Source organism: Homo sapiens, chromosome 3 (genome assembly GCF_000001405.40).
Source record: "Homo sapiens chromosome 3, GRCh38.p14 Primary Assembly".
NCBI classification, from domain to species: domain Eukaryota; kingdom Metazoa; phylum Chordata; class Mammalia; order Primates; family Hominidae; genus Homo; species Homo sapiens.
In genome coordinates this window covers 155,778,804-155,805,342 of record NC_000003.12, presented here as the reverse complement: position 1 = coordinate 155,805,342, position 26,539 = coordinate 155,778,804, and the positions used below count along the sequence as shown (strand labels likewise).

The 26,539-nt window shown below is 40.7% G+C and overlaps 1 protein-coding gene across 3 annotated transcripts in view, besides 3 other annotated features; it reads left to right on the top strand.

Moving 5' to 3' along the window:
• Positions 1 to 26,539, top strand: part of C3orf33 (chromosome 3 open reading frame 33) — a 43,662-nt gene that overhangs the window by 936 nt on the left and 16,187 nt on the right. For 2 of the 3 annotated variants that reach the window (NM_001308229.2, NM_173657.3), the window contains one exon: positions 2,752 to 2,811. The exons of the other annotated variant lie outside the window; for it this stretch is intronic. In NM_001308229.2, the coding sequence (NP_001295158.1) occupies positions 2,752 to 2,811 (60 nt within the window). The remainder of the gene's footprint in view (positions 1 to 2,751; positions 2,812 to 26,539) is intronic. 3 annotated transcript variants of the gene reach the window in all.
• Positions 11,717 to 11,917: a silencer, noted in NCBI's record as "peak4874 fragment used in MPRA reporter construct". NCBI's record gives its function as "represses an SCP1 promoter by STARR-seq MPRAs in K562 erythroleukemia cells {active_cell/tissue: K562}" and the evidence as "EXISTENCE:reporter gene assay evidence [ECO:0000049][PMID:32103011]".
• Positions 13,286 to 14,485: an enhancer, noted in NCBI's record as "BRD4-independent group 4 enhancer chr3:155508647-155509846 (GRCh37/hg19 assembly coordinates)". NCBI's record gives its function as "activates an origin of replication core promoter dependent on BRD2, P300/CBP, MED14 and CDK7 cofactors, and independent of BRD4, by STARR-seq in HCT116 cells {active_cell/tissue: HCT116}" and the evidence as "EXISTENCE:reporter gene assay evidence [ECO:0000049][PMID:35650434]".
• Positions 15,358 to 15,532: a silencer, noted in NCBI's record as "fragment chr3:155507600-155507774 (GRCh37/hg19 assembly coordinates)". NCBI's record gives its function as "represses an EF-1alpha promoter that drives an FKBP-Casp9 reporter gene in an ReSE screen in phorbol 12-myristate 13-acetate-treated (for megakaryocytic differentiation) K562 erythroleukemia cells {active_cell/tissue: K562(+PMA)}" and the evidence as "EXISTENCE:reporter gene assay evidence [ECO:0000049][PMID:32094911]".

The window sequence follows — 26,539 nt, the reverse complement described above, 5'->3', positions numbered from 1 at the left end:
TACAGGCACTTGTCACCACACCAGGCTAATTTGTTTTTTGTTTGTAGAGGCAAGGTCTTCCTGTGTTGCCCAGGCTGGCCTTGAACTCCTGGTCTCAAGAGATCTGCCCGCCTCGGCCTCCCAAAGCACTGGGATTGTAGGCATCAGCCACTGGTGCCCTGCCTTTTTTTTTTTTTTTTTTTTTAAGTGAAGCACTAAGCCTCTGGAGTTGAAGCAAGAGAGGGACATGTTAGGCCACCAGGCAAGAGAGGGTTGTGGCTAAGACACAGAATTGTGGTGATATGAATTGTTTGGGTGTGAGGTACAAAGAAAGAGGTCCAAGGAGGCTGGTAATAGTTGCTGATAAGGAGAAGGAGTTGGAATAAATGATTTATTGGGGAAAATCTAGAGAACTTTTTGGACACGTACATGGAGATGTGCAAATTTGGAGATCATTATTAGACTTCTAAGCAGAATTGTAGATGCTGTCCTTGGCAACTGGATATGGGGTCCGGTGTTGAAGGGAGATCAGAACCTGACATAGAACATTGGGAATGACCTGCATAAACCTTAAGTAGCATTTAAAGCCGTGGGCTTGAATAACATCTCAGAGCAAGTGAGAAAAGCTACTGAAGAAGCCCTAGAATTTGGGGGATTATAACATTGAGAATCTGGGGAGTAAAGAGGAGGTCAGCAAAGACTAAGAAGAAGCAGACAGTGAGGTAGTAAAAAAGTCAAGACAGCCAGGTGTTCTAGAAGCCAAGTGAAGAAAATGTTTTCAGAAGGAATCATTAACTTTAAAAAATAATACTGGAAAGTTGAGTAAGATAACTTTGCAAATGCTCTACAGCCAAGCAGCACAAAGTCCAAAGCCATGCCTGTTTTCACTCATCATTGTAGCCCCAGTTCTTAGAGTAATGCCTGCTACTTAGTAAGTGCTAGATAAATATTTGTAGCATCATTGAATGGTAAATAATATATGTGTTAATTGGTGAAAACTCATTTCTTCCAGTTAAGCAGTAATAGATGCATGGGTTATTTCAAATTAAAAAATGACTTCAGAAGGATTATGGGAGGAAGTTGTGTAAATTAGAACATAGTTATAATATTACAAATAATCCAATCACAGAACCCAGAGTATGTACCTTTGTGCATATTTTCAATCTCATTTCCTTTTTCTTTTTTTTTAGACCAAGTCTTGCACTTGTCCCCCAGGCTGGAGTGCAATGGTGTGATCTCGGCTCACTGCAACCTCTGCCTCCCAGGTTCAAGTGATTGTCCTGCCTCACCCTCCTGAGTAGCTGGGATTACAGGTGCCTGCCACCAAGCCTGGCTAATTTTTGTATTTTTAGTAGAGATGGGGTTTCACCATGTTGGCCAGGCTGGTCTCGAACTCCTGACCTCAGGTGATCTGCCCGCCTTGGCCTCCCAAAGTGCTGGAATTACAGGCATGAGCCACTGCGCCGGCCTCTTTTTTCCTTTGAGACAGAGTCTCACTCTGTCGCCCAGGCTGGAGTGCAGTGGCACAATCTCGGCTCACTGCAACCTCCACCTCCTGGGTTCTAGCGATTCTCGTGCCTCAGCCTCCTGAGTGGCTGGAATTACAGATGTGTGCTACCACGTCCAGCTAGTTTTTTGTATTTTTAGTAGAGACGAGGTTTCACCATGTTGGCCAGGCTGGTCTCAAACTCCTGACCTCAAGTGATCCACCCGCCTCGGCCTCCCCAAGTGCTGAGATTACAGGCGTGAGGCACCACACCTGGCCTCAATCTCATTTCTTTTTTTTTTTTTTTTTTTTTGAGACTGAGTCTCACTCTGTTACCCAGGCTGGAGTGCAGTGGCACGATCTCGGCTCACTGCAACCTCTGCCTCCCCGATTCAAACGATTCTCCTGCCTTAGCCTCCTGAGTAGCTGGGACTACAGGCGCCCACCACCACGCCCGGCTAATTTTTTGTATTTTTAGTAGAGACGAGGTTTCACCGTTTTAGTCAGGATGGTCTCGATCTCCTGGCCTTGTGATCTGCCTGCCTCGGCCTCCCAAAGTGTTGGGATTACAGGTGTGAGCCACCATGCCCAGCCAATCTCATTTCTTATATACCTAGTTGTATTGATGGAAGGAAAGTGTGTTAGATTATTACTCTTTTTGAGAGAGTTGCAGGATTCTTAATTTTTCATTAACTCCTTTAGGCCTACCCCAGTTTAAATGAAACACTTTAAAAACATCGCTTAATATTCCCTAGCCATTTACCCACATCTGCCAAGTGCTGTATATTAAGGTTTAGTGATAAAATTTTCTACTAAATACTTAAATTCCTACTATGGATGCAAGGTTATACTAATTACTATGGGTACTGTATAGGAAGTACTAGACCAGTTCATATATTGATGGAACTGATAGTTAAATAATACGATCAGTAGAGAACAATCCAATACTATATACATATATGTATCTGTGTATTGGGGTGGGTGGGTGTGTATATGTGTGTGTATATGTTTACATATACATGTATGTATATATGTTTAAATATATATATAAATGTCTCTGTGTGCCAGATTGGGAAAGAATTTGAGTACTATAAAAGTTAAAAGAATTCATCATAATGAACGAGTGGACAGTTTTTGAAGAAGTGGGCCTTTATTTGAAAGACATACATTGTTTATACACATTAGATATAGAGAGGACAGTCTTCTTTTTTTCTACCTTCTAATTAGTGCTTTCATTATTGTGACTAATAATTAGTGAGGGTTAACCCTTAAATCTCTTTCTGTAGAACATCAGCACTGGAATGGCCATAGCTGGAATAATGTTACTTTTGAGAAGCATTCGACTGGTAAGTTAAAAAATGAAAAAGACATTACAACAAGCCGTAGGTAGTTTATTTCCATTTCAGACAATTTTTATCTCAAACAGTGTATCATATTGTTACTCGTATTGGTAGCTTTTAAATAGTATTTTAGAACAATGAACATATTTTAAGGTCTTGGTTTAAATATAACACATCCACAGGATTTTACAGAAAGTAATTGCGTGGTTTATATTTCCATAATCACTTTTTTTCATGCTTAAAAAGGAATCTGAAAAGGATTTAGTTTGCTAGAATGTTATAATCACTAAATTTGCATTTCAAACACTGTAGAATATCTTAAAGTGTTTTCTTGTGGTGCTTTTTGATTTAGACCACAGTTGAATTATGTCCCTTAGCACTCAATAATTTATGCTTCCAGTTAGCACATTTTCTTATTTCTTTCAATAATGTTTTATTGGTAGCATAAGACATAATATTTTTTCTATGCCCATTAAACAACTCCAGGGGGCGGGGCGGTGGCTTATGCCTGTAATCCCAGCACTTCAGGAGGCTGAGGCGAGTGGATCACCTGAGGTCAGGAGTTCGAGACCAGCCTGGCCAACATGATGAAACCCTGTCTCTACTAAAAATACAAACAATTAGCCAGGTGTGGTGGCAGGCACCTGTAATCCCAGCTACTCAGGAGGCTGAGGCACGAGAATCACTTGAACCTGGGAGGCAGAGGTTGCAGTGAGCTGAAACCGTGTCACTGCATTCCAGCCTGGGCAACAAGAGTGAAACTCTGTCTCAAACAACAAAACAAAACAAAACAAAAAAACAATAACTCCAACTTCCCTTTCCCCTCATCCCCTGGCATCTATCGTTCCATTTTCTGTCTCCATGATTTTGACCATTCTAGATATCTCATGTAAGTGGCATTATATGGTATTTTTTTGTGACTGGCTTTTTTCACTTAGCCTGGTATTACTAAGATTCATCCATGTTGTTGCATATATCATAATTTTTGTCCTTTTTAAGACTGACAATATTCCATTGTAAGTGTATATCACATTTTGCTTTTCTGTTCATTTGTTGATGGACACTTGGGTTGCTTCCATGTTTTAGCTGTCGTGAATAATGCTGCTATGAACATGCATATACAAATATCTCTTTGAGATCCTACTTTTAGTTATTTTGAGATTCAGTTATATACCCAGAAGTGGATTAGATGGTCATTGTGTTTTTAATTTTTTTTTTTTTTTTTTTTGGACAGAGTCTCACTCTGTCGCCCAGGAAGGAGTGAAGTGGTGTGATCTTGGCTCACTGTAACTTCCACCTCCTGGGTTCAAGCAATTCTCCTGCCTCAGCCTCCTGAGTAGCTGAGATTACAGGCGCCTGCCACCACACCTAATTGTTTTGTATTTTTGGTAGAGACAGGGTTTTACCATGTTGGTCAGGCTGGTCTCGAACTCTTGACCTCAAGTGATACACCGGCCTTGGTCTTCCAAAGTGCTGGGATAACAACACCCGTCCTATTTTTAATTTTTTGAGTAACTGCCATACTGTTTTTTACAGTGGCTGTACTATTTTATGTTACCACTAACAATGCACAAGAGTTTCAATTTCAGCACATCCTTACTAACAGTTATTATTTTCTGGTTTTTTGTTAGTAGTCATCCTAATGAGTTTGAGGTAGTATCTTATTGTGGTTTTGATTTGCATTTTTCTAATGATTAGTGATGTTGAGCATCTTTTCATGTGGTTATTGGCCCTTCATATATGCTTTTGTGTAAATATCTGTTCAGCTCTTTTGCCCCTTTTTGAATGGGGTTGTTTGTTTTTTTGTTGTTGAATTTTAGGAGTTCTGTACATTCTGAGTCCCTGATTAGATAAATGATTTGCAAATATTTTCTCACATCCATTCTGTATGTTGCCTTTTTTTTTTTTTTTTTTTTTTTTTTTTTTTGGAGATAAGGTCTCACTCTGTTGACCAGGCTAGAGTGCACTGGCATGATCATGGCTCATTGCAGCCTCAACCTCTTAGCCTCAAGTGATCCTCATCCTCATGCCTCAGCTTCCTGAGTAGTTAGGACTAAAGGCACCTGCCACCATGCCTGGCTAATTTTTAATTTTTCTGTAGCAATGGCGCCTCTTTGTGCTGCCCAGGCTGGTCTTGAACTCTTGTCCTCAAGCAGTTCTCCCATCTTAGCCTCCCAGAGTGCTGGGATTACAGACATGAGCCACTGCACCCCACCTATGTGTTTACTTTTTCTAATCTCTGTTGAGAGTGCTCATTGATGTGCAAGTTTTAAATTTTTATGAAGTCCAATTTGTCTATGTTTTCCTTTTTTCATTTTAATTTTTGTGAGTACATACTAGGTGTATATATTCATGGGGTACATGAGATATTTTGATACAGGCATACAGTCCATAATAATCACATCAGAGTAAATAGGGTATTCATCACCTCAAGCATTTCTTCTTTCGTGTTGCAAACAATCCAATTATGTTCCTTTAGTTATTTTAAAATGTACAATAAATTATTGTTGACTGTAGTCACCCTGTTGTGCTACCAAATACTAGATCTTATTCATTCTATTTAATTATATTTTCATACCCATTAACCAACCCCACTTCTTGCTCATCCCCAGCTACCCTTCCCAGGTTCTGGCAACCATTATTCTACTCTCTGTCTCCATGAATTCAATTTTTAAATTTTTTAGTTCCCTCAAATAAGTGAGAACATGCAAAGTTTGTCTCTCTCTGCTTGGCTTACTTCACTTAACATAATGACCTCCATTCCATCCATGGTGTTGGAAACAACAGTTCTGTTTAAGGATGAATAGTATTCTACCATGTATATGTACCATATTTTCTTTTTTCTTTTTTGAGACAAGGTCTCACTCTGTCACCCAGGTTGAGTGCAGTGGTGTGATCATGACTCACTGCAGCCTTGGTCTTGCGGGCTCAAGCGATCCTCTCATGTCAGCCTCCTGAGTAGCTGGGACCACAGGTGTGAGCCACCATGCCCAGCTAATTTTTGTACTTTTTGGAGAGACAGGGTTTTGCCATGTTACCCAGGCTGATCTCCAGCTCCTGGGCTCAAGTGATCTGCCTGCCTTGGCCTCCCAAAGTGCTGGGATTACAGACATGGTCCACTGCACCCAGCCCACATTTTCTTTATCCATTCGTCTGTTGATGGACACTTAGGTTGCTTCCAAATCATGGCTATTGTGAATAGTGCTGTGATAAGCATGGGATTAAAGGTATCTCTTTGATATACGGATTTCCTTTCTTTTGGTATATATCTAATAGTGGAATTGCTGGATCATATGGTACTTCTATTTTTAGTTTTTTGTGGGGCCTCCAAACTGTTCTCCATAACGGTTGTAATAATTTACATTTTTCACCAACAGTGTACGAAGGTTTCCTTTTCATCCTTGCCAGCGTTTGTTATTGCCTATCTTTTGGATAAAAGCCATTTTAATTGGGATGAGATGATATCCTATTGTAGTTTTGATTTGCATTTCTCTGATGATCAGTGATGTTGAGCACCTTTTCATGTACCTGTTTGCCATTTGTATGTCTTCTTTTGAGAAATGCCTATTGACATCTCGTGACCATTTTTAAATGAGATCGTTAGATTTTTTTTCCTGTAGAGTTGCTTGAGCTCTTTATATAATCTGGTTATTAATTCCTTGTCAGATGGATGGTTTGCACATATTTTCTCCTGTTCTGTGGGTTGTCTCTTCACTTTGGTAATCGTTTCCTTTGTGGTGCAGAAGCTTTTTAACTTGATATGATCCTGTTTGTCTATTTTTTCTTTGGTTGCCTGTGCTTATGGGGTATTTTTCAAGAAATCTTTGCTCAGTCCAATGTCCTGGAGAGTTTCCCCAATGTTTTCTTGTAGGAGAGTTATAGTTTGAGGTCTTAGATTTAAGTCTTTAATGCATTTTGATTTTATTTTTGTATATGATGAGAGAGAGAGGTCTAGCTTCATTCTTTTGCGTATGGATATCCAGTATTCCCAGCATCAGTTATCAAAGAGACTGCCCTTTCTCCAACTTATGTTCTTGGCACCTTTGTTGAAAATGAGTTCACTGTAGATGTATGGATTTGTTTGTGGGTTCTCTATTCTGTTCCATTGGTCTATGTGTCTGTTTTTATGCCAGTACCATGCCATTTTAGTTACTATAGCTCTTATAATTTGAAGTCAAGTAATGTGATTGTTCCAGTTTTGTTCATTATACTCAGGATAACTTTGGCTATTCTGGGTCTTTTATGGCTCCATAGAAATTTGAGGATTGTTTTTTCTGTTTCTGTGAAGAATGCCATTGGTATTTTGATAGGGATTGCATTGAATCTGTAGATTGCTTTGGGTAATATGGGCATGTTAACAATATTGATTCTTCCAATCCACCCATGAACATGGAAAATTTTCTCATTGTTTGTACCCTTTTCAATTTATTTCATTAGTGTTTTATAGCCTTTTTTTTTTTTTTCTTTGAGACAGACACTTGCCCTGTCACTCAAGCTGGAGTGCAGTGGTACAATCTTGGCTCACTGAAACCTCCACCTCCTAGGTTCAAGCAATTCTCATGCCTCAGCCTCCCAAGTAGCTGGGATTACAGGCATGTGCCACCATGCCCGGCTAATTTTTGTATTTTTAGTAGAGACAGGGTTTCACTATATTGGCCAGGCTGGTCTTGAACTCCTGGTCTCAAGTGATCTGCCCACCTCGGCCTCCCAAAGTGCTGGGATTACAGGCATGAGCCACTGTGCCCAGCCAGTGTATTATAGTTTTCGATGTAGAAATCTTTCACTTCTTTGGGTAAATTAATTCCTAGGTATTTAATTTTATTTCCAGATATTGTAAACGGGATTACTTTCTTGATTTCTTTTTCAGATTGTTCACTGTTGGCATGTAGAAATGCCACTGATTTTTATATATTGATATTGTATCCTGCAACTGTACTGAATTTATTTATCAGTTCCAATAGTCTTTTGGTGGAGTCTTTAGGTTTTTTCGAATACAGATCATATCATCTGCAAACAAGAAAAATTTAACTTCTTTTTTTGCAGTTCAGATGCTCTTTATTTCTTTCTTTTGTCTGAGTGCTCTAGCTAGGACTTCTAATACTATATTGAATAACAGTGGTGAAAGTGGGCATCCTTGTCATAGTCTAGATCATAGAGGAAAGGCTTTCAGTTTTTCCCCATTCAGTGTGATACTAGGGCTGCGGGTCTGTTGTGTATGGCTTTTATTGTGTTGACGTATGTTCCTTCTGTAGCATTTTGTGAGGGTTTTATCATGAAGGAATGTTGATTTTATCCAATGCTTTTTCAGCATCTATTGAAATGTTCATGTTTGTATGGCTTTTGTCTTTTCTTTGAGATGGAGTCTCTCTCTGTCACCCAGGCTAGAGTGCAGTGGTGTGACCCCGGCTACTGCAACCTCCACCTCCAGGTTCAAGCAATTCTCTTCAGCCTCCCAAGTAGCTGGAATTACAGGCACCCACCACCACGCCTGGCTAATTTTTGTATTTTTAGTAGAGGCGGGGTTTTGCCATGTTGACCAGGCTAGTCTCGAACTCCTGACTTCAGGTGATCTGCCTGCCTTGGCCTCCCAAAGTACTGGGATTACAGTCATGAGCCACCATGCCAGGCCTGTCCTTCATTTTGTCAATATGATGTATCACATCGATTGATTTATGTATGTTGAACCATCCTTGCATCCCTGGGATAAATCCCACTTGGTCAAAGATCTTTTTAATATGTTGTTGAATTTGATTTGTAGGTATTTCTTTGAGGATTTTTGCATTAATGTTCATCAGGGATATTGACTTGTAGTTTTCTTTTTTGATGTGTCTTTGTCTGGTTTTGGTATCAGGGTAATACTAGCCTTGTAGAATGAGTTTGGAAGTATTCCCTCTTCCTCTATTTTTTGAATCATTTGAGTAGGATTGGTATTTATTTTTCTCTTAAACGTTTGGTAAAATTCAGCAATGAAGTCATTGAGTCTTGGGCTGTTCATTGCTGGCAGAGTTTTTATTACAGCTTTGATATCATTACTTTTTATTATGGCTTTGTTTTCATTACTTGTTGATCTGTTCAGGTTTTGGATTTCTTCATGTTACAATATTGGTAGGTTGTACATGTCTAGGAATTATCTATTTCTCTAGGTTTTCCAACTTATTGGCATATAGTTGTTCATAGTAGCCTCTAATAATCTTTTGAATTTTTGTGGTATTGGTTGTAATGTCTCCTTTTTCATTTCTGATTTTATTTATTTGAGTCTCCTCTCTTCTTTTCTTAGTCTGGCTAAAGGTTTGTCGGCTTTGTTTATCTTTTCAAAAAAGCAACTTTTCATATCCCTAATCTTTTGTATTCCTTCACTGCAATTTCATTTATTTTTGCTCCAATCTTTATTATTTTTTTCTTCTACTAATTTTGGGTTTGGTTTGCTCTTGCTTTTCTAATTCTTTTAAATGGATTCCTGTTTGCTTTTCTACTTTTTTGATGTAGGTGCTTATAGCTATAAAATTTCCTTTTAATATTGCTTTTGCTGTATCCCATGGGTGTTGATATGTTGTGTTTTCATTATTATTATTATTATTTTTTTAGATGGAGTCTTGCTTTGTTGCCCAGGCTGGAGTGCAGTGGCATGATCTTGGCTCACTGCAACCTTTGCTTCCTGGGTTCAAGCAATTCTTCTGCCTCAGCCTCCTGATTAGCTGGGATTACAGGCATGCACCACCACATCTGGCTAATTTTTGTATTTTTAGTAGAGACAGGGTTTCACTGTGTTGGCCAGGCTGGTCTTGAATTCCTGACCTCAGGTGATCTGCCCGCCTTGGCCTCCTAAAGTGCTGGAATTACAGGTGTAAGCCACCGCTCCCAGCCTTCATTACCATTTGATTCAAGAAATTTTTAAATTTCTTTCTTAATCTTTTTGTTGACTCAGTGGTCATTCAGGAGCACATTGTTTAATTTCCATGTGTTTGTATAGTTTCCAAGATTCCTCTTGTTATAGATTTCTAGTTGTATTCCATTGTAGTCAGAGAAGATATTTGATATAATTTTGATTTTTTTGAAATTTTTATTTTTAATTATTTATTTTTGAGATGAAGTCTTGCTCTGTTACCCAGGCTGGAGTGCAGTGGCACGCTCTCGGCTCACTCCAACCTCCGCCTCCTGGGTTCAAGCAATTTTCCTGCCTCAGCCTCCTGATCAGCTGGGATTACAGGCATGCACCACCACGTCTGGCTAATTTTTGTATTTTTAGTAGAGACAGGGTTTTGCCATGTTGGCCAACCTGGTCTTGAATTCCCGAACTCAGGTGGTCTATCCACCTCGGCCTCCCAAAGTGCTGGGATTACAGGTGTGAGCCACCGCACACGGCTTGAAATTTTTTAAGACTTGTTTTTTGACCTAACATATAGTCTATCCTTGAGAATGATCCATGTGCTAAGGAGAAGAATGTATATTCTTCAGCCATTGGATGAAATGTTCTATGAATATCCTACGTCCATTTGGTCTATCGTGCAGATTAAGTTTGATGTTTCTTTGTTGATTTTCTATCTGGAAGATGAAAGTGGGGTGTTCACGTCTCCAGCTATTATTATATTGGGACCTATCTCTTTAGCTCTAGCTCTAATATTAATTGCTCTGTATATCTTGGTGCTGCAGTGTTGGCTGCATATATATTTATAATTGTTGTATCCTCTTGCTGAATTGACCCCTTTATCATTATATAATGACCTTCTTTGTCTCTTTTTATAATTTTTGTCTTGAAATCTATTTTATCTTAAAATCTATTTTGTCTGTAAATCTGCCATAAATATAGCTACTGCTGCTCTTCTGCAGTTTCTGTTTGCATGGAGTATCTTTTTCTATTTCTTTATTTTCAATCTATGTGTATCTTTATTAAGAGAAGTATGTTTCCTGTAGGCAAAAGATTGTTGGGTCTTGTTTTTTTAATCCATTCAGCTACTCTATGTCTTTTGGAGAGTTTAGTTCATTTACATTGTTATTATTGATAAGTAATGACTTACTCCTGTCATTAAAAAATTTTTTTTTTCTGTTAGTTTTGTGGTCTTCTCTTCCTTTTTTCCATCCTTCCTATCTTCCTCTTACTAAAGATGATTTTCTCTTGTGATGTTTCAGTTTTTTGCTTTTTATTTTTTGTATATCAGTTATATGTTCTTTGATTGGAGGTTACCATGAGGCTTGCAAATATCTTATCACCTGTTATTTTAAACCGATGACAACATTGATTGCATAAACAAGCAAACTAGGCCGGGTGCAGTGGCTCACACCTATAATCCCAGCACTTTGGGAGGCCGAGGCAGGTGGATCACCTGAGGTCAGGAGTTTGAGACCAGCCTGGCCAACATGGTGAAACTCTGTTTCTACTAAAAATACAAAATTAGCTAGGTGTGATGGGGCACACCTGTAATCCCAGCTACTTGGGAGGCTAACAGGAGAATCACTTGAACCCAGGAGGCAGCTGCTGCAGTGAGCTGAGGTTGCACCACTGCACTCCAGCCTGGGCCAGACTGAGTGAGACTCTGTCTCAAAAAAAACAAAAAAACAAAACACCACCAAGCAAACTAACACTGAAGCAAAGACAAAATTAATAAAAAAACTCTATACTTTGTCTCTGACTTTTAAACTTTATGTCTCTATTTATATCTTATTATACTGTCTATGTCTAGAAAAGCTGTTTTAGTTTTTTTAGTTTTTTTAGTTTTTTTTTTTTTTTTTTGAGTCAGAGTCTCACTCTGTCTCCCAGGGTGGAGTGCAGTGGTGCGATCTCGGCTCACTGCAAACTCTGCCTCTCAGGTTCAAGAGATTCTCCTGCCTTAGCCTCCCGAGTAGCTGGGACTACAGGCAGGCACCACCATGCCCGGCTAATTTTTGTATTTTTAGTAGAGACGGGGTTTCGCTATGTTGGCCAGGCTGGTCTTGGACCCCTAACCTTCAGTTATCTGCCCTCCTCGGCCTCCCAAAGTGCTGAGATTACAGGTGTGAGTCACTGCGCCTGGCCTTTCTACTCAAGATACAGTAGTTTACATACCACAATTACAGTGTTATAATATCCCATGTTTTTCTTTGTACTTTCTGTTACCAGTGAGTTTTGTACCTTCAGGTGATTTCTTATTGCTCATTAACATCCGTTTTTTTTCTTTCTTTTTTTTTTAATCAGATTGAAGCACTCACTTTAACATTTCTTGCAGGACATGTCTGGTGTTGAGGAAGTCCCTCAGCTTTTGTTTGTCTAGGAGAGTATTTCTCCTTCGTGTTTGACTGGCTATACTATTTTGTTAGGTTGGTGCAAAAGTAATTACAGGTTTTTTTTTTTTTGCCACATATATATTTTCTTTTCTTCAGCACTTTATGCCATGTCACTCTCGCCTGGCTTGTAAGGATTTCACTGAAAAGTCTGCTGCCAGATGTATTGGAGTGCCATTGTATGCTATTTGTTTCTTTTCTCTTGCTGCTTTTAGGATTCTTTTTATCCTTGACCTTTAAGAGTTTGATTATTAACTGTGTTGTAGTGATCGTCTTTCGGTTAAATCTGCTTGGTGTTCCATAACCTTCTTGTACTTGAATATCAGTATCTTTCTCTAGATTTTGTACGTTCTCTGTTATTATCCCTTTGACTAAACTTTCTACCCCTATCTCTCTGCCTCTTTTTCAAGGCCAATAACTCTTAGATTAGCCCCTTTGAGGCTATTTTCTAGATCCTGTAAGAGTGTTTGATTCTTTTTTATTTTTTTCTCCTCTGACTGTGTATTTTCAAATAGCCTGTCCTCAGACTTGCTAATTCTTTCTTCTGCTTGATCAGTTCTGCTGTTTAGAGACTCTGATGCATTCTTCAATATGTCAATTGCATTTTTCAGCTCCAGAGTTTCTGGTTGATTCTTTTTAACTGTTTCTCTCTTTGTTAAGTTTATCTGGTAGGATTCTGAGTTCTTTCACTGTGTTGTCTTGAATTTTATTAGGTTTCCTCAAAACAGCCATTTCGAATATTCTCTTCAAAAGGTCACATATCTCTGTCTCTGCAGGATTGGTGACTGGTACCTTATTTAGTTTTTTTTGGTGAGGTCATGTTTTCATGTATATTCTTGATGCTTGTGGATATTGAGGTCTGGGCATTGAAGATTTCGGTATTTATTATAGTCTTCATAGTCTGGATTTGTGTGGACCTGTCCTTCTCTGGAAGGATTTCCAGGTATTTGAATGCACTTGGGTGTTGTCATCTAAGTTTTTGGTCACTGCAGCCATATTTGTATTAGGGGGCATCCCAAGCCCAGTAACGCTGTGGCTCTTACAGTCTAATAGATGTACCATCTTGGATAAGATCTGCAAAAATTCTCTGGATTACCAGGCAGAGACTCTTGTTCTTCCCCTTTCTTTCTCCCAGAAAAGTAGAGTCTCTCTGTCTGTGTCAAGGTGCCTGGAGCTGGAGGAGGGGTGACATAATCACCACTGTGGCCAACACTGGGATTGTATTTGGTCAGACCTGAAGCCAACACAGCACTGCGTCTCTCCCAGGGCCCATGGTAACCGCTGCCTTGTCACTACCTGTGTTTGCTGAAGATCCTAGGGCTCCAGAATCAGTAGGTGGTGAAGCCAACCAGGCTTGTGTCCTTCTCTTCTGGGTGGTGACTTCTCCCAGTCTCAGATAGGTCCAGAGGTGTCATCCGGGAGCCAGGGCCTGGAGTAGTGAATCTTCAAAATCTACCTGGTGCTGCTATATGCTACTGTGGCTGAGCTGGGACCTAAGCCACAAGACAGTCCTTTCCACTCTTCCCTCCCCTTTCCACAAGCAGAAGAGTCTCTCCCTGGGGCCACCACCATCCCAGGCCTGCGGCAAATACTGCCTGGCTACCACTGATATTCATTCAAGGCCTGAGGGTTCTTCAGTCAGCTTGTAGTGAATGCTGCCAGTCCTGGGACTCTCCCATCAGGGAAGTGGTCTCCCCACTGGCCCAGGGCAGATCCAGAAATGGTGTCCAAGAGCCTAAGCCTGGACTTGGGGACCCCAAGAGGCCATGTGGTGCTTTACCCCATTGTGGCAAAGCTGATACCTAAGCTGCATAACAATGTCCCCTTAGTCTTCCTCCTCCTTTTCTCAAGTAGAAGGAGTCCCTCACCATAGCCATCACAGCTGGTAATGTGCTGAGTCACACCTGAAGTCAGCACATCTCTCAATCTTACCCAAGGCCCACAGCGGGTATTGCGTGAGTATTGCTGTTGGTTATTCAAGACCCAAGGGCTCTAGAGTCAGGAAGTGATGAATCCTGCCAGGACTGGGTTCTTCTCTTCAAGGTAGTGGGTTGCTTTGTGGCCCAGGGTGTATCTAGAAATGTCATCTATGAGCTAGGGCCTGAAATGGGAGTCTTCGTCCTCTGCCTAGTGCCTTATCCTACTATAGCTGAGCTGGTTTCCAAGTTGCAAGACAGAATTCTGTTTACTCTTCCTTTTCCTCTCCTCAGGTAGAAGGAAGGAATCTCTCCTGGGGCTGTGAGCCATGCTACCTGGGGTTAGGAGAGAGGTGGGGCACAAGTATTCACTTGGCCACCCTCATTGATGTCTCACTGGGTCATGTATTCCCCAAGTTCTCTGGCTTTGAGCCAACACGGCACCAGGATTTGCCTAGGAATTGCAGGCCTTGTGGTCTAGACTGCCTTTCAAGTTTATTTAGGACCCCAGAATACATTATCCCGTGGTGGTGAGGCTTGAAGGACCTCAGGTTGTGACTGCTGGCATGAATGATTCCCTTCTGGCTAGGGCTGGTCTAAATACTTCCTCTGTGGGCCCCGGCTCAGTTTTATCTGATGTTGCTTTCTGCTGTAACAGGCAGCACTGAGTTCTAATGCAAAATCCCATAATCAATGTACTCTCCCCCATCCAAGTGCATAGATTCTCCCTCCATGCCACGCAGCTGCTGCAAAGGGATGGGGGAGGGGTTGCATCAGCAGTTGAAGACTGTCTTTTCTGTTCTATTCAGTGTTAAGAAACGATTGCTCACCTGATTTTTGGTTCTTATGAAGGTGCTTTCTTGTGTGGATAGTTGTTCAATTGGTATTCCTGTGGGGAGGATGATCCATGATTCAGCCATTTTTCTCTGCCCTGTTTTTCTTTTTCTTTTTTTAATTGTTGCCTGTGCCTTTGGTGTCACATCTAAGAAATCATGGGCAAATCCACTGTCATGAAGCTTTTGCCCTATATTTTTTTTTAAGGAGTTTTATAGTTTTAGCTCTTGAGTTTGGGTCTTTGCTCTATCAAGTTAATTTTTTTATATAGTGTTAGATAAGGGCCTGACCTTTTTTTTTTTTTTCTTTTTTGCATGTGAATATTCCGTTTTCTCAGCACCAATTTTTTTTTTTTTTTTTTTTTTTTTTGAGACAGAGTTTCACTCTGTCACCCAGACTGGAGTGCAGTTGTATGATCTCGGCTCACTGCAACTTCTGCCTCCCGGGTTCAAGTGATTCTCATGCCTCAGCCTCCCCAGTAGCTGGGACTACAGGCATGCGCCACTACATCCGGCTAATTTTTGTATTTTTTGGTACAGATGGGGTTTCACTGTGTTGGCCAGGCTGGTCTCAAACTCCTGGTCTCAAGTTATCCACCCACCTTGGCCTCCCAAAGTGCTGGGATTACAGGCCCAGCCTCCCAGCACCATTTTTGAAAAGCCTGTCTTTTCCCCATTGAGTGGTGTTGGCACCCTTGTTGAAAATCATTTAATTGTATATGTGAGCATTTATTCCTGGCCTCTCTGTTCCATTGATCTGTATGTCTATCTTTATGCCAGTACTACCCTGTTTTGATTACTGTAGCTTCTAAATATGTTTTGAAATCAGGAAGTGTGAGTCTTCTAATTTTGTTCTTCTTTCTCAAAATTATTTTGGGTATTTGAGATCCCTTGTGATTCCACATGAATTTGAGGATGGATTTTCCTATTTCTGAAAAAAAAAAGTCATTGGGATTTTGATAGGGATTGTATTGAATCTATAGATAACTTTGTGTAATATTGACATTTAAACAATATTAAATTTTCCAGTCCATAAACATGGGATGTCTTTTCATTTACATCTTCTCTAATTTCTTTTAGCAATGTTTTGTAGTTTTATTGTATGCGTCTTTCACTGTCCTGGTTAATTCCTAATTATTTTATTCTTTGTGATGTTATTATAAATGGAATTGCTTTTTTTTTTTTTTTTGAGACAGAGTCTCACTCTGTTGCCCAGGCTGGAGTGCCATGGCGCAATCTTGGCTCACTGCAACCTCCACCTCCTGGATTCAAGCAATTCTCCTGCCTCAGCCTCCTGAGTAGCTAGGATTACAAGCGCCTGCCACCACGCCTGGCTAATTTTTGTATTTTTAGTAGAGACGGGGTTTCACCATGTTGGTCAGGCTGGTCTCAAACTCCTGACCTCGTGATCCACCCACCTTGGCCTCCCAAAGTGCTGGGATTACAGGCGTGAGCCACCACACCTGGCCAATGGAATTGCTTTCATAATGTCCTTTTCAGATTGTTTGTTGTTAATGTTAGAAATGCAACTGATTTTTGTGTGTTAACTTTGTATTCTTTTACTTGGTTGAATTTGTGTGTTAGTTCTAATAGTTTTTCTAGAGTTTTCTACATATAAGATCGTATAATCTGTGAACAGAGGTATTTAAATTCTTCTATTCTATTTTAGATGCCTTTTTTCTCTCTTGTCTATGTGCTCTGGTGCTCTGGCTAAGACATCCAGTAGTACTCTGTTGAATAGAGGTGGTGAGAGTGGACATCCTTGACTTGTTCCTGATCTTAGAGGAAAAGCTTTCAGTTTTTCATCATTGAGTATAATGTTCACTATGGTTTTTTCTTTCTTTTTTTTTTTTTTGATGGAGTCTCACTGTTGCCCAGACTGGAGTGTGGTGGCTGCGATTTCGGCTCACTGCAACCTCTGCATCCCGGGTTCAAGCAATTCTCCTGCCTCAGCCTCCTGAGTAGCTGGGATTACAGGCTGTGCCACCACAGCCAGCTAATTTTTGTATTTTTAGTAGAGACAGGGTTTCACTATGTTGGCCAGGATGGTCTCGATCTCTTGACCTCGTGATCCACCTGCCTCAGCCTCCCAAAGTGCTAGGATTATAGGCATGAGCCACTGCGCCCAGCCGAATATGGTTTTTTCATATGTGACCTTAGTATGTTGAAGTAGTTGCCTTCTATTCTTAGTTTCTTAAGTGTTATCATGAAGGAATATTGAATTTTGTCAAAGGTTTTTTTCTATATCAGTTGAGGTAACCATGTGTTTTTTTAATTTATTCTATTAATGCAGTGTATTATACTGGTTGATCTTTTTATTTTTATTTTATCCTTTTTTTTTTTGAGACGGAGTCTCGCTCTGTCGCCCAGGCTGGAGTGCAGTGGCACAATCTCGGCTCACTGTAAGCTCCGCCTCCCAGGTTCACGCCATTCTCCTGGCTCAGCCTCCCCAGTAGCTGGGACTACAGGCGCCCGCCACCACGCCCGGCTAATTTTTTGTATTTTTAGTAGAGACGGGGTTTCACCGTGTTAACCAGGATGGTCTTGATCTGCTGACCTCATGATCCGCCCGCCTCGGCCTCCCAAAGTGCTGGGATTACAGGCATGAGCCACCGCGCCCGGCCTATACTGGTTGATTTTTATATGTTGGATCATTCTTGCATTTCAGGAATAAATCCCACTAAGTTATAATGTATAATCCTTTAAATATGTGGCTGAAAGACTGTGTGTGGTGGCTTAAACTTGTAATCCCAGCACTTTGGGAGGCTGAGGTGGGAGGATCACTTGAACCCAGGAGTTCAAGGCCAGCTTGGGCAACATAGAGAGACCCCATCTCTACAAAAAAAAAAAATAAATAGATAAAACAAATTAGCTGGGCATACGGCTGGGCACAGTGGCTCACGCCTGTAATCATAGCACTTTGGGAGGCTGAGGCAGACGGATTGCCTGAGCTCAGGAGTTTGAGACCAGCCTGGGCAACACAGTGAAACCCCGTCTCTACTAAAATACAAAAACTTAGCTGGGCATGGCAGCGTGCACCTGTAGTCCCAGCTACGGGGGAGGCTGAGGCAGGAGAATTGCTTGAACCCGGGAGGCAGAGGTTGCACAGTGAGCCGAGATCATGCCACTGCACTCCAGCCTGGGTGACAGAGCAAGACTCTGTCTCCAAAAAAAAAAAAAAAAAAAGCATACCTGTGGTCTCAGCTGCTCAGGAGGCTGAGGTGGGAGGATCGATTGAGCCCAGCAGGTCAAGGCTACATTGAGCCATGATCAAGCCACCGCACTCCAGTCTGGGTAACAGAGTGAGACCCTGTTTCAACAAAGAAAAGAGTGGCTGAATCTGGTTTTCTATGATTTAGTAGAGAATTTCTTCGTCAATGTTTATGACAGATACTGGTCTATAGTTTTCTTGCAGTGTCTTTGTCTGGCTTTGGTATCAGGGTAATGCTGGCCTCATAGACTGAGTTAGGAAGTATTCTCTTCTCTTTAATTTTTGGGAAAAGTTTGAGAAGGATTGGTGTTAGTCCCCTTTTAAATCCATGGTAGAATTGACCAGTGATGCTGTCAGATCCAGGGCTTCCTTTTGTTGGGAGATTTTTGATTAATGATTTAACTTTCTTAACAGTTTTAGTTCTACTTGGATTTGGATTTTTACTTTCTTCATGATTCCATCCTGGAAGGTTATTTATTTATTTATTTTTTTGAGACAGAGTCTTGCACTGTTGCCCAGGCTGGAGTGCAGTGGCACAATCTCAGCTCACTGCAACCTCTGCCTCCCAGGTTCAAGTGATTCTTCTGCCTCAGCCTCCTGAGTAGCTGGGATTACAGGCACCTGCCACCATGCTCAGCTAATTTTTTTTTGTATTTTTAGTAGAGATGGGGTTTCGCCACGTTGGCCAGGTTGGTCTCAAACTCCTGACCTCAGATGATCCGCCTGCCTTGGCCTCCCAAAGTGCTGGGATTACAGACGTGAGCCACTGTGCCTGGCCTGGTTTTTTGTTTCTATGAATTTATCCATTTCATCTATGTTATCCAATTTGTTAGCGTACAGTGGTTCATAGTACTCTTTTATAGTTCTTTTCATTTCTGTAGAATTTGTAGTAATGTCCCCACTTTTATTTCTGACTTAGGAATTTTAGTCCTTTCTCTCTTTTTTTAGTCCATTTAGCTAAAGATTTGTCAGCTTTATTGTTTTTTGAAGAACCAACTTTTAGTTTCATTAATTTTTCTCTATTGTTTTTCTCCTTCCTGTCTGCACTCTCATATTTAGTATTTCCTTTCTTCTGCTAGCTTTGGGTTTAGTGTGGCCTTTTCCCCCCATTTCCTTAAATTATAAAGTTAGGTTTTTGATTTGAGATCAATCTTTCCTTCTTCTTTTCTTTCCCTTCCCTTCTCCCTCCCCTTCCCTTTCTCCTTTCCCATTTCCCCTTCCCTTTTTCCTTTCCTTCCCTTTTTCCTTTCCTTCCCTTTTTCCTTTCCTTTTCCTTTTTCCTTTCCTTTCCCTTTTCCTTTCTGAGACAGGCTGGAGTGCAGTGGCACTACCATGGCTCACTGCAGTCTTGACTTCTCTGTCTCAGGTGATTCTCCCACCTCAGGCTCCTGAGCAGCTAGGACTACAGGTGTGTGCCACCACACCTGGCTAATGTTTTGTATTTTTTTAGTAGACAGGGTTTTGGCATGTTGCCCAGAATTGTCTCAAACTCCTGAGCTCAAGTGATCTGCCCACCTAGACCTCCCAAAGTGCTGGGATTACAGGCATGAGCCACTGCATCTGGACTATTTTTCTTTTTCTTCTTTCTTAGTTAAGCATTTACAGTTACACATTTCTCCCTTAGCACTGCTTTCACTATATTCTGTCAGTTTTGGCATGGTGTGTTTTAATTTTTATTGGTCTCTAAGTACTTTTAAATTTTCCTTGTGATTGTTTTTTGATATATTGGCTGTTTGAGTGCATTTAATTGCCACAGATTTGCAAATTTTTTCTTCTGTTATTTATTTATAACTTCATCCTGTTGTGTTCAGAGAAGATACTTTGTATGACATCTGTCTTTCATAATTTACTAAGACTTAATTTGTGGCCTAACAAATGGTCTATCTTGGAGACTGTTCCATGTACATTTGAGAATAATATATATTCTGTTGTCATTGGGTAGAGTATTCTGTATATGTTTGTTAGATCTAAGCGATTTATTTTATTATTTAAGTCCTCTTTTTCCTTACTTATCTTCTGTCTGGCTATTCTATTCATTATGAGAGTGGGGTGTTGTCTCTGTTATTGCAAAATTATCTATTTCTCCCTTCAACTCTCACCATTTTTGCTGGTCTGTTATTTGGTACATAAATATTTATAATTATTATGGCTTCTTGCTTTTTTTGAATATTTTATTAATATATAATGTCCTTTTTTTTCTGTTGTAACTTTTTTTGATTTAAAGTCTAGTTTTTCTGATATTGGTTTAGGTACCCCTGCTCTTGTTTGGTTATTATTTGCATGGAATATTTTTTTCCATCCTTTCACTTTCAACCTATTTGTTTGGATTTAAAGTGTATCCCCTGTAGACTGCATATGGTTGAATGATAATTTTTAAATAAATTAGGCTGATCTCTCTCTTTCTATTGGAGACTTTAACTCATTACCATTTAAAGTAATTAATGATAAGGAGGGACTTCTGTCATTTTGCCATCTGTTTTCTATATGCCTTATAGGTTTTTTTGTCCCTCATTTCCTGCATTACTGTGTTTTTGTATTTTGTATAATTTTTTATTTTATTTATTTAATTAATTATTTTATTTTATTTTATTTTTTTTGAGACAGAGTCTTACTCTCTCACCCAGGCTGGAGTGCAGTGGTGCCATCTCGGCACCTCCCGGATTCAGGTGATTCTCCTGCCTCAGCCTCCGAAGTACCTGGGATTACAGGTACTCACTGCCACACCTAGCTAATTTTTGTTTGATTTGTAGAGACAGGGTTTCACCATGTTGGCCAGGCTGGTCTCGAACTCCTGGCCTCAAGTGATCCACCTGCCTTGGCCTGCCAAAGTGCTGGGATTACAGACATGAGCCACCACGCCCAGCTGAAGTGTTTTAATTTTATATTATTTCCTTTTCTGTGTATTGCATAACTATTTGTTCTAGGTTACCATTAACATCCTAAAGTTATAACACTCTAATTTAAATTCATACCAACTTAACCTCAATAAAATACAAAAACTACTCCTTTTGAACATCATCCCCACTCCTTTCAGTTCTTGATATCACAGAATCGCATTTTTGTACATTGTGGATATAAAAAAAGCATAAACTAGGCTGGGCGCGGTGGCTCACACCTGTAATCCCAGCACTTTGGGAGGCTGAGGCAGGAGGATCACCTGAGGTTGGGAGTTCTTGACCAGCTTGACCAACAAGGAGAAACCCATCTCTACTAAAAATACAAAATTAGCTGGGCCTGGTGGCACATGCCTGTAATCCCAGCTACTTGGGAGGCTGAGGCAGGAGAATCGGTTGAACCCGGGAGGCGGAGGTTGTGGTGAGCCAAGACTGTGCCATTGCACTCCAGCCTGGGCAACAAGAGCGAAACTCTGTCTCAAAAAAAACAAAAAAAAAACCCCAAACAAAACAAAACAAAACAAAAAAACCCATAAACTAATAATTTTTAAAATATCTGAGTCTTTAAAATTATGTAGAAAACAAAATATGGACTTAAAAACCAAAGTTACAATAATACTAAGTTTTAAACTAATTATTGTCTCTTTTAAAAATGTAGTACAGGCCTGGTGAGGTGGCTTATGCCTGTAATGCTAGCACTTTGGGAGGCCAAAGCGGGCAGATTGCCTGAGCTCAGGAGTTTGAGACCTGCCTGGGCAACACAGTGAAACCCTGTCTCTACTACAATACAAAAACTTAGCCAGGCGTGGCAGCGTGTGCCTGTAGTCCCAGCTACTTGGTAGGCTGAGGCAGGAGAATCCCTTGAACCTGGGAAGCAGAAATTTCAGTGAGCCAAGATCGTGCCACTGCACTCCAGCCTGGGCAACAGAGCGAGACTCCATCTCCAAAAAAAAAAAAAAAATGTAGTACAGGTTTGCTGGGTGCGGTGGCTCATGCCTGTAATCCCAACCCTTTGGGTGGATGAGGTGGGTGGATCACCTGAGGTCAGGAGTTCAAGACCAGCCTGGCCAACATGGCGAAAACGTGTCTCTACTAAAAATACAAAAAGTAGCTGAGTGTGGTGGCACACGCCTGTAATCCCAGCTACTCGGGAGGCTGAGGCAGGAGAACTGCTTGAACCCAGGAGACGGAGGTTGCAGTGAGCCGAGATTGTGCCACTGCATTCCAGCCTGGGTGACAGAACGAGACTCCATCTCAAAAAAAAAAAAAAATGTAGAATGGGTTGAGTATCCCTTATCCAAGATGCTTGGGACCAAAAGCATTTAACTGAGCAGGACAGTAGCATCATCAGGATACCAGTATTGGCTGTTAAACAAGAACAATAACAAATAATGGCAGATTTTTTTATTTTTCTGGTGTGGAATTTTCCACTTTTGGTGTCAGGTTGGCACTCAAAAAGTTTCAGATTTTGGAGCAGTTCAGATTTCAGATTTGTGGTTTAGGGATGCTCAACCTGTAGTCTCTTAAATTATGTGGAAAACAAAAAGTGGAGTTACAAACTGTTGTTACAATAATATTAGTGTTTATAATTGCTCATGTATTTACTTTTACCAAGATCTTTATCTCTTCATATGGCTTCAAGTTACTGTCTAGTGTCCTTTCATTGCAACCTGTAGCACTAGTTTTAGCATTTCTTGCAGGGCAAGTCTGTGGTAACAAACTTTCTTGGCTTGTATTTATCCGGAAATGTCTTGAATTCTTCACTTCTGAGGGTCAGTTTTGCTGGATATAATATTCTTGGTTTATAGTTTTCTTGCTTTTAGCACTTTGAATATATCAGTCCACTACCTTATAGCCTCCAAAGTTTCTGATGAGAGATCTGCAGATAATCTTATTAAGGATCCTTTTATGTGACAAATTGCTTCTTTCTTGCTGCTTTCAAAGTTTTTTCTTTGTCTTTATTCAGTTTGCTAATATCTTGGCCTGAGTCTTTTTGAGTGCATCCTACTTGGAGTTTGTTGAGCTTTTTGGATGTTTATATTTGTCTGTTTCATCAAACTTGGGAAGTTTTCAGTCATGGTTTTTTTTTTCAAATAGTTTCTCTCCTGCTTGTTTCTCTTTTTCTTCTGGGACTCCTCTAGTGCATATGTTGGTTCATTTAATGGTGTTCCATAGATTCCTTAGGCCCTGTTCCCTTTTCTTCAATCTTTTTTTTTCTTTCTGTTCCGCAGACTCAATAATTTATCTTTTTTTTTTTTTTTTAGACGGAGTCTTGCTTTGTCGCCCAGGCTGGAGTGCATTGGCATGATCTCGGCTCAGCCTGCTGAGTAGCTGGGATTACATGAGTCCACCACCACACCTGGCTAATTTTGTATTTTTAGTAGAGATGGGGTTTCGCCATGTTGGCTCACTGCAACCTCTGGCTCCTGGGTTCAAGCAGTTCTCCTGCCTCAGCCTCCTGAGTAGCTGGGACTACAAGCACATGCCACCACACCCGGCTAATTTTTTGTATTTTTAGTAGAGACGGGGTTTCACCGTGTTAGCCAGGATGGTCTTGATCCCTGACCTGGTGATCTGCCTGTCTCAGCCTCCCAAAGTGCTGGGATTACAGGCATGAGCCACCGCACCCGGCCCACTATTTTTTTTTTTTTTTTTTTTTTGAGATAGAGTCTCACTCTGTCACCCAGGCTGGAGTGCAGTGGTGCGATTTTGGCTCACTGCAAACTCTGGCTCCTGGGTTCAAACAATTCTCCTGCCTCAGCCTCCCAAGTAGCTGGGACTACAGGCATGTGCCACCACACCCGGCTAATTTTTTGTATTTTTAGTAGAGATGGGGTTTCACCGTGTTAGCCAGGATAGTCTCGATCTCCTGATCTTGTGATCTGCCTGCCTTGGCCTCCCAAAGTGCTGGGATTACAGGTGTGAGCCACTGCGCCCAGCCCTGGCCCACTATTTTTAAGTAATAGTGACTTACTAGTGATGAGAAGGGCAAGCTAGGTGCTAGGAAGAGAACATTGAAACATTAAGTGATTAAAACAAAAACAAGCAAACAAAAATATTTGTTGTGTTACAGATGAGTTTGGCTGCAAGTAAGAGAAACCCCAAGTAACAGCAGCTTCACCATGTAAGGGGTTTATTTTTCTCAAGTCATAAGAAGTCTATTGGGAGGCCGAGGCGGGTGGATCATGAGGTCAGGAGATCGAGACCATCCTGGCTAACAAGGTGAAACCCCGTCTCTACTAAAAAAAAATACAAAAAAAAAAATTAGCCGGGCGCGGTGGCGGACGCCTGTAGTCCCAGCTACTCGGGAGGCTGAGGCAGGAGAATGGCGTGAACCCGGGAAGCGGAGCTTGCAGTGAGCCGAGATTGCGCCACTGCAGTCCGCAGTCCCACCTGGGCGACAGAGCGAGACTCCGTCTCAAAAAAAAAAAAAAAAGAAGTCTAGAGGTAGGCTGCTGGCAGTGGTTCCTTGCCTCAGTGACATAAGGGCTTAAGTCTATGTAGTTTTTTGGACTTTTCTTATTGCATAGGATGCCTTTTGTAGCTCCAAATACCATATTCATGATCAAGGCAGGAAATGGAGGAAAAGGACAGTACCAACCACAACTTTTCCTTTGTCAGGAAAGCGTTTTTCCCAGAAGCCTTCAGCAGAATTTTGTTTACATCCTCTGTCACATAGCCACCTCTACCTGGAAAGGATGCAGGGAGAGTGACCATTTAGCTTTCCCATCCCTAAAATGCATGGTGGCAAAGAAGAAGGGATTTAGCAATGGATATTGTGTTAGTCATGCTTCAGTGTTCTTTTTGTATTGCTGATTTTCTTCCCTCTGAGAGTTTATTTATCAAGTTCTTATATTCCTTCAGTTACTGGTTGATAATTGCAAATTTTATATTTAAAAAATAAAAGAAGATTATTGAGTTTGGCATTGTGCCAGCACTTTATAAACATAATTTCATTTAATGCTTATAATAATCTTTTGATCAAGGTTGATTTTTATAGATGACAAAGTAGATACTTAAAGGAGGTAAACAATTTTCACAAGATCATCCAGCTAGTAAATGGCAGAGCTGGATTTCAAATTTATGTCTTGAATTTGAAACCCTTATTTTCTTTGTCTTTACCAGGATGCTTCCAGCATTTATTTTTTTGCCTTTAGGACATCTTCTTCACCGTCTGAAGCTTAGACACAGCATCCTTGTAGCAGCATCATCTTTCTGCCTCTCCTAGAGTGTAGGTTGTGTTTGTCACAAGCTCGGGATTTACTTCCTGTAAAGACAGCCTCCTTATCTGTTCTTATCCTTTGGATCTATCCCTTTCTGTCCCCTTTGATATATAATTTATTTTAAACCTATTCATGTATTGCTCTACACTTATATTCTGGTTGTTTTATGTATATTTTTTGTTCGTCTTCCAAATAGTCCCTGCTGTGTTACAGAAGCACAGCTTTGAGCTTTGTGTTGTTGTGGGATATAAAATAAATGGATGCAATGGAATCTTTCTCACATACACTGTGAGCTCCTTGAGAGCAGGAACATTGGTGCTCCTTTGATTTTCTCCTTCAGCTTCTTAATAATTTATAAAACTCCAAACATTAAGGCACTCTTTGACCTTCTTGCATATATTGTAAGAAAACACACCAGAATTAAAAAGGATGCACTTTTAGTAGTTGAAGACATCTTTATTGGCCATCCTACTTCTTTTAACTCTTTCTTTCCCTGGGCAAAGTACTGTCAGTTCTCCTGGGTGATATGGTTTCCAGGTGCCTATTTTTTTTTTGCCCTTCTTCTGGCTTTGCTCCAGTTTGTTAAAGCCTTTTATGAAATATGATCTCATGGCTGGGCACGGTGGCTCACGCCTGTAATCCCAGCGCTTTGGGAGGCTGAGGCAGGCGGATCACATGAGGTCAGGAGTTTGAGACCAGCCTGGCCAACATGGCGAAACCTTGTCTCTACTTAAAATATAAAAATTAGCTGGGTGTGGTGACACATGCCTGTAATCCCAGCTACTCAGGAGGCTGCAGCAGGAGAATTGCCTGAACCCGGGAGGCAGAGATTGTAGTGAGCCGAGATCATGCCACTGCACTCCAGCCTGGGCAACAGAGCGAGACTCTGTCTCAAAAAAAAAGAAAAAAGATCCCAGAGTAGTGCAATATATTCTCCTTAGGTCCTGCTTTAGGACAATCTGTCTCTCACTTCTCTTGCTCTAGATTTTGTTCCTAAAAGCGTTACCTTAGGTTGAACTTTTTTTGGTGGTGAGGAGACCAGGTTGCACTTTTTCTGTTTTTGTGTGTTTGTTTTTAGCAGCAATGTTATACTTTTACTCATTTTGAGTTCACAGTTCCCTAAAATCTCTAAATATCACCCATATAAGCACTATAGGTATTAATTTGTTCTCTCCCATCCTTCATTAGTTTTGGGGAGTACAGGAGGAGTCTTTACAATTTAGTTCATTATTCTGGTTGTCAGAATCTTTTTGAATACTTATCCTGACTTCCAGCAGTCATATCCTTCCAAACAACCAGCCATTCTGATGTTTGTTCCTCATGCTATCATTCAAGTCATTCATGATCATATTAAACTGGAGGTCAGAGTTCCATAGATTACCCCTAGAGTACCACTTTCTAT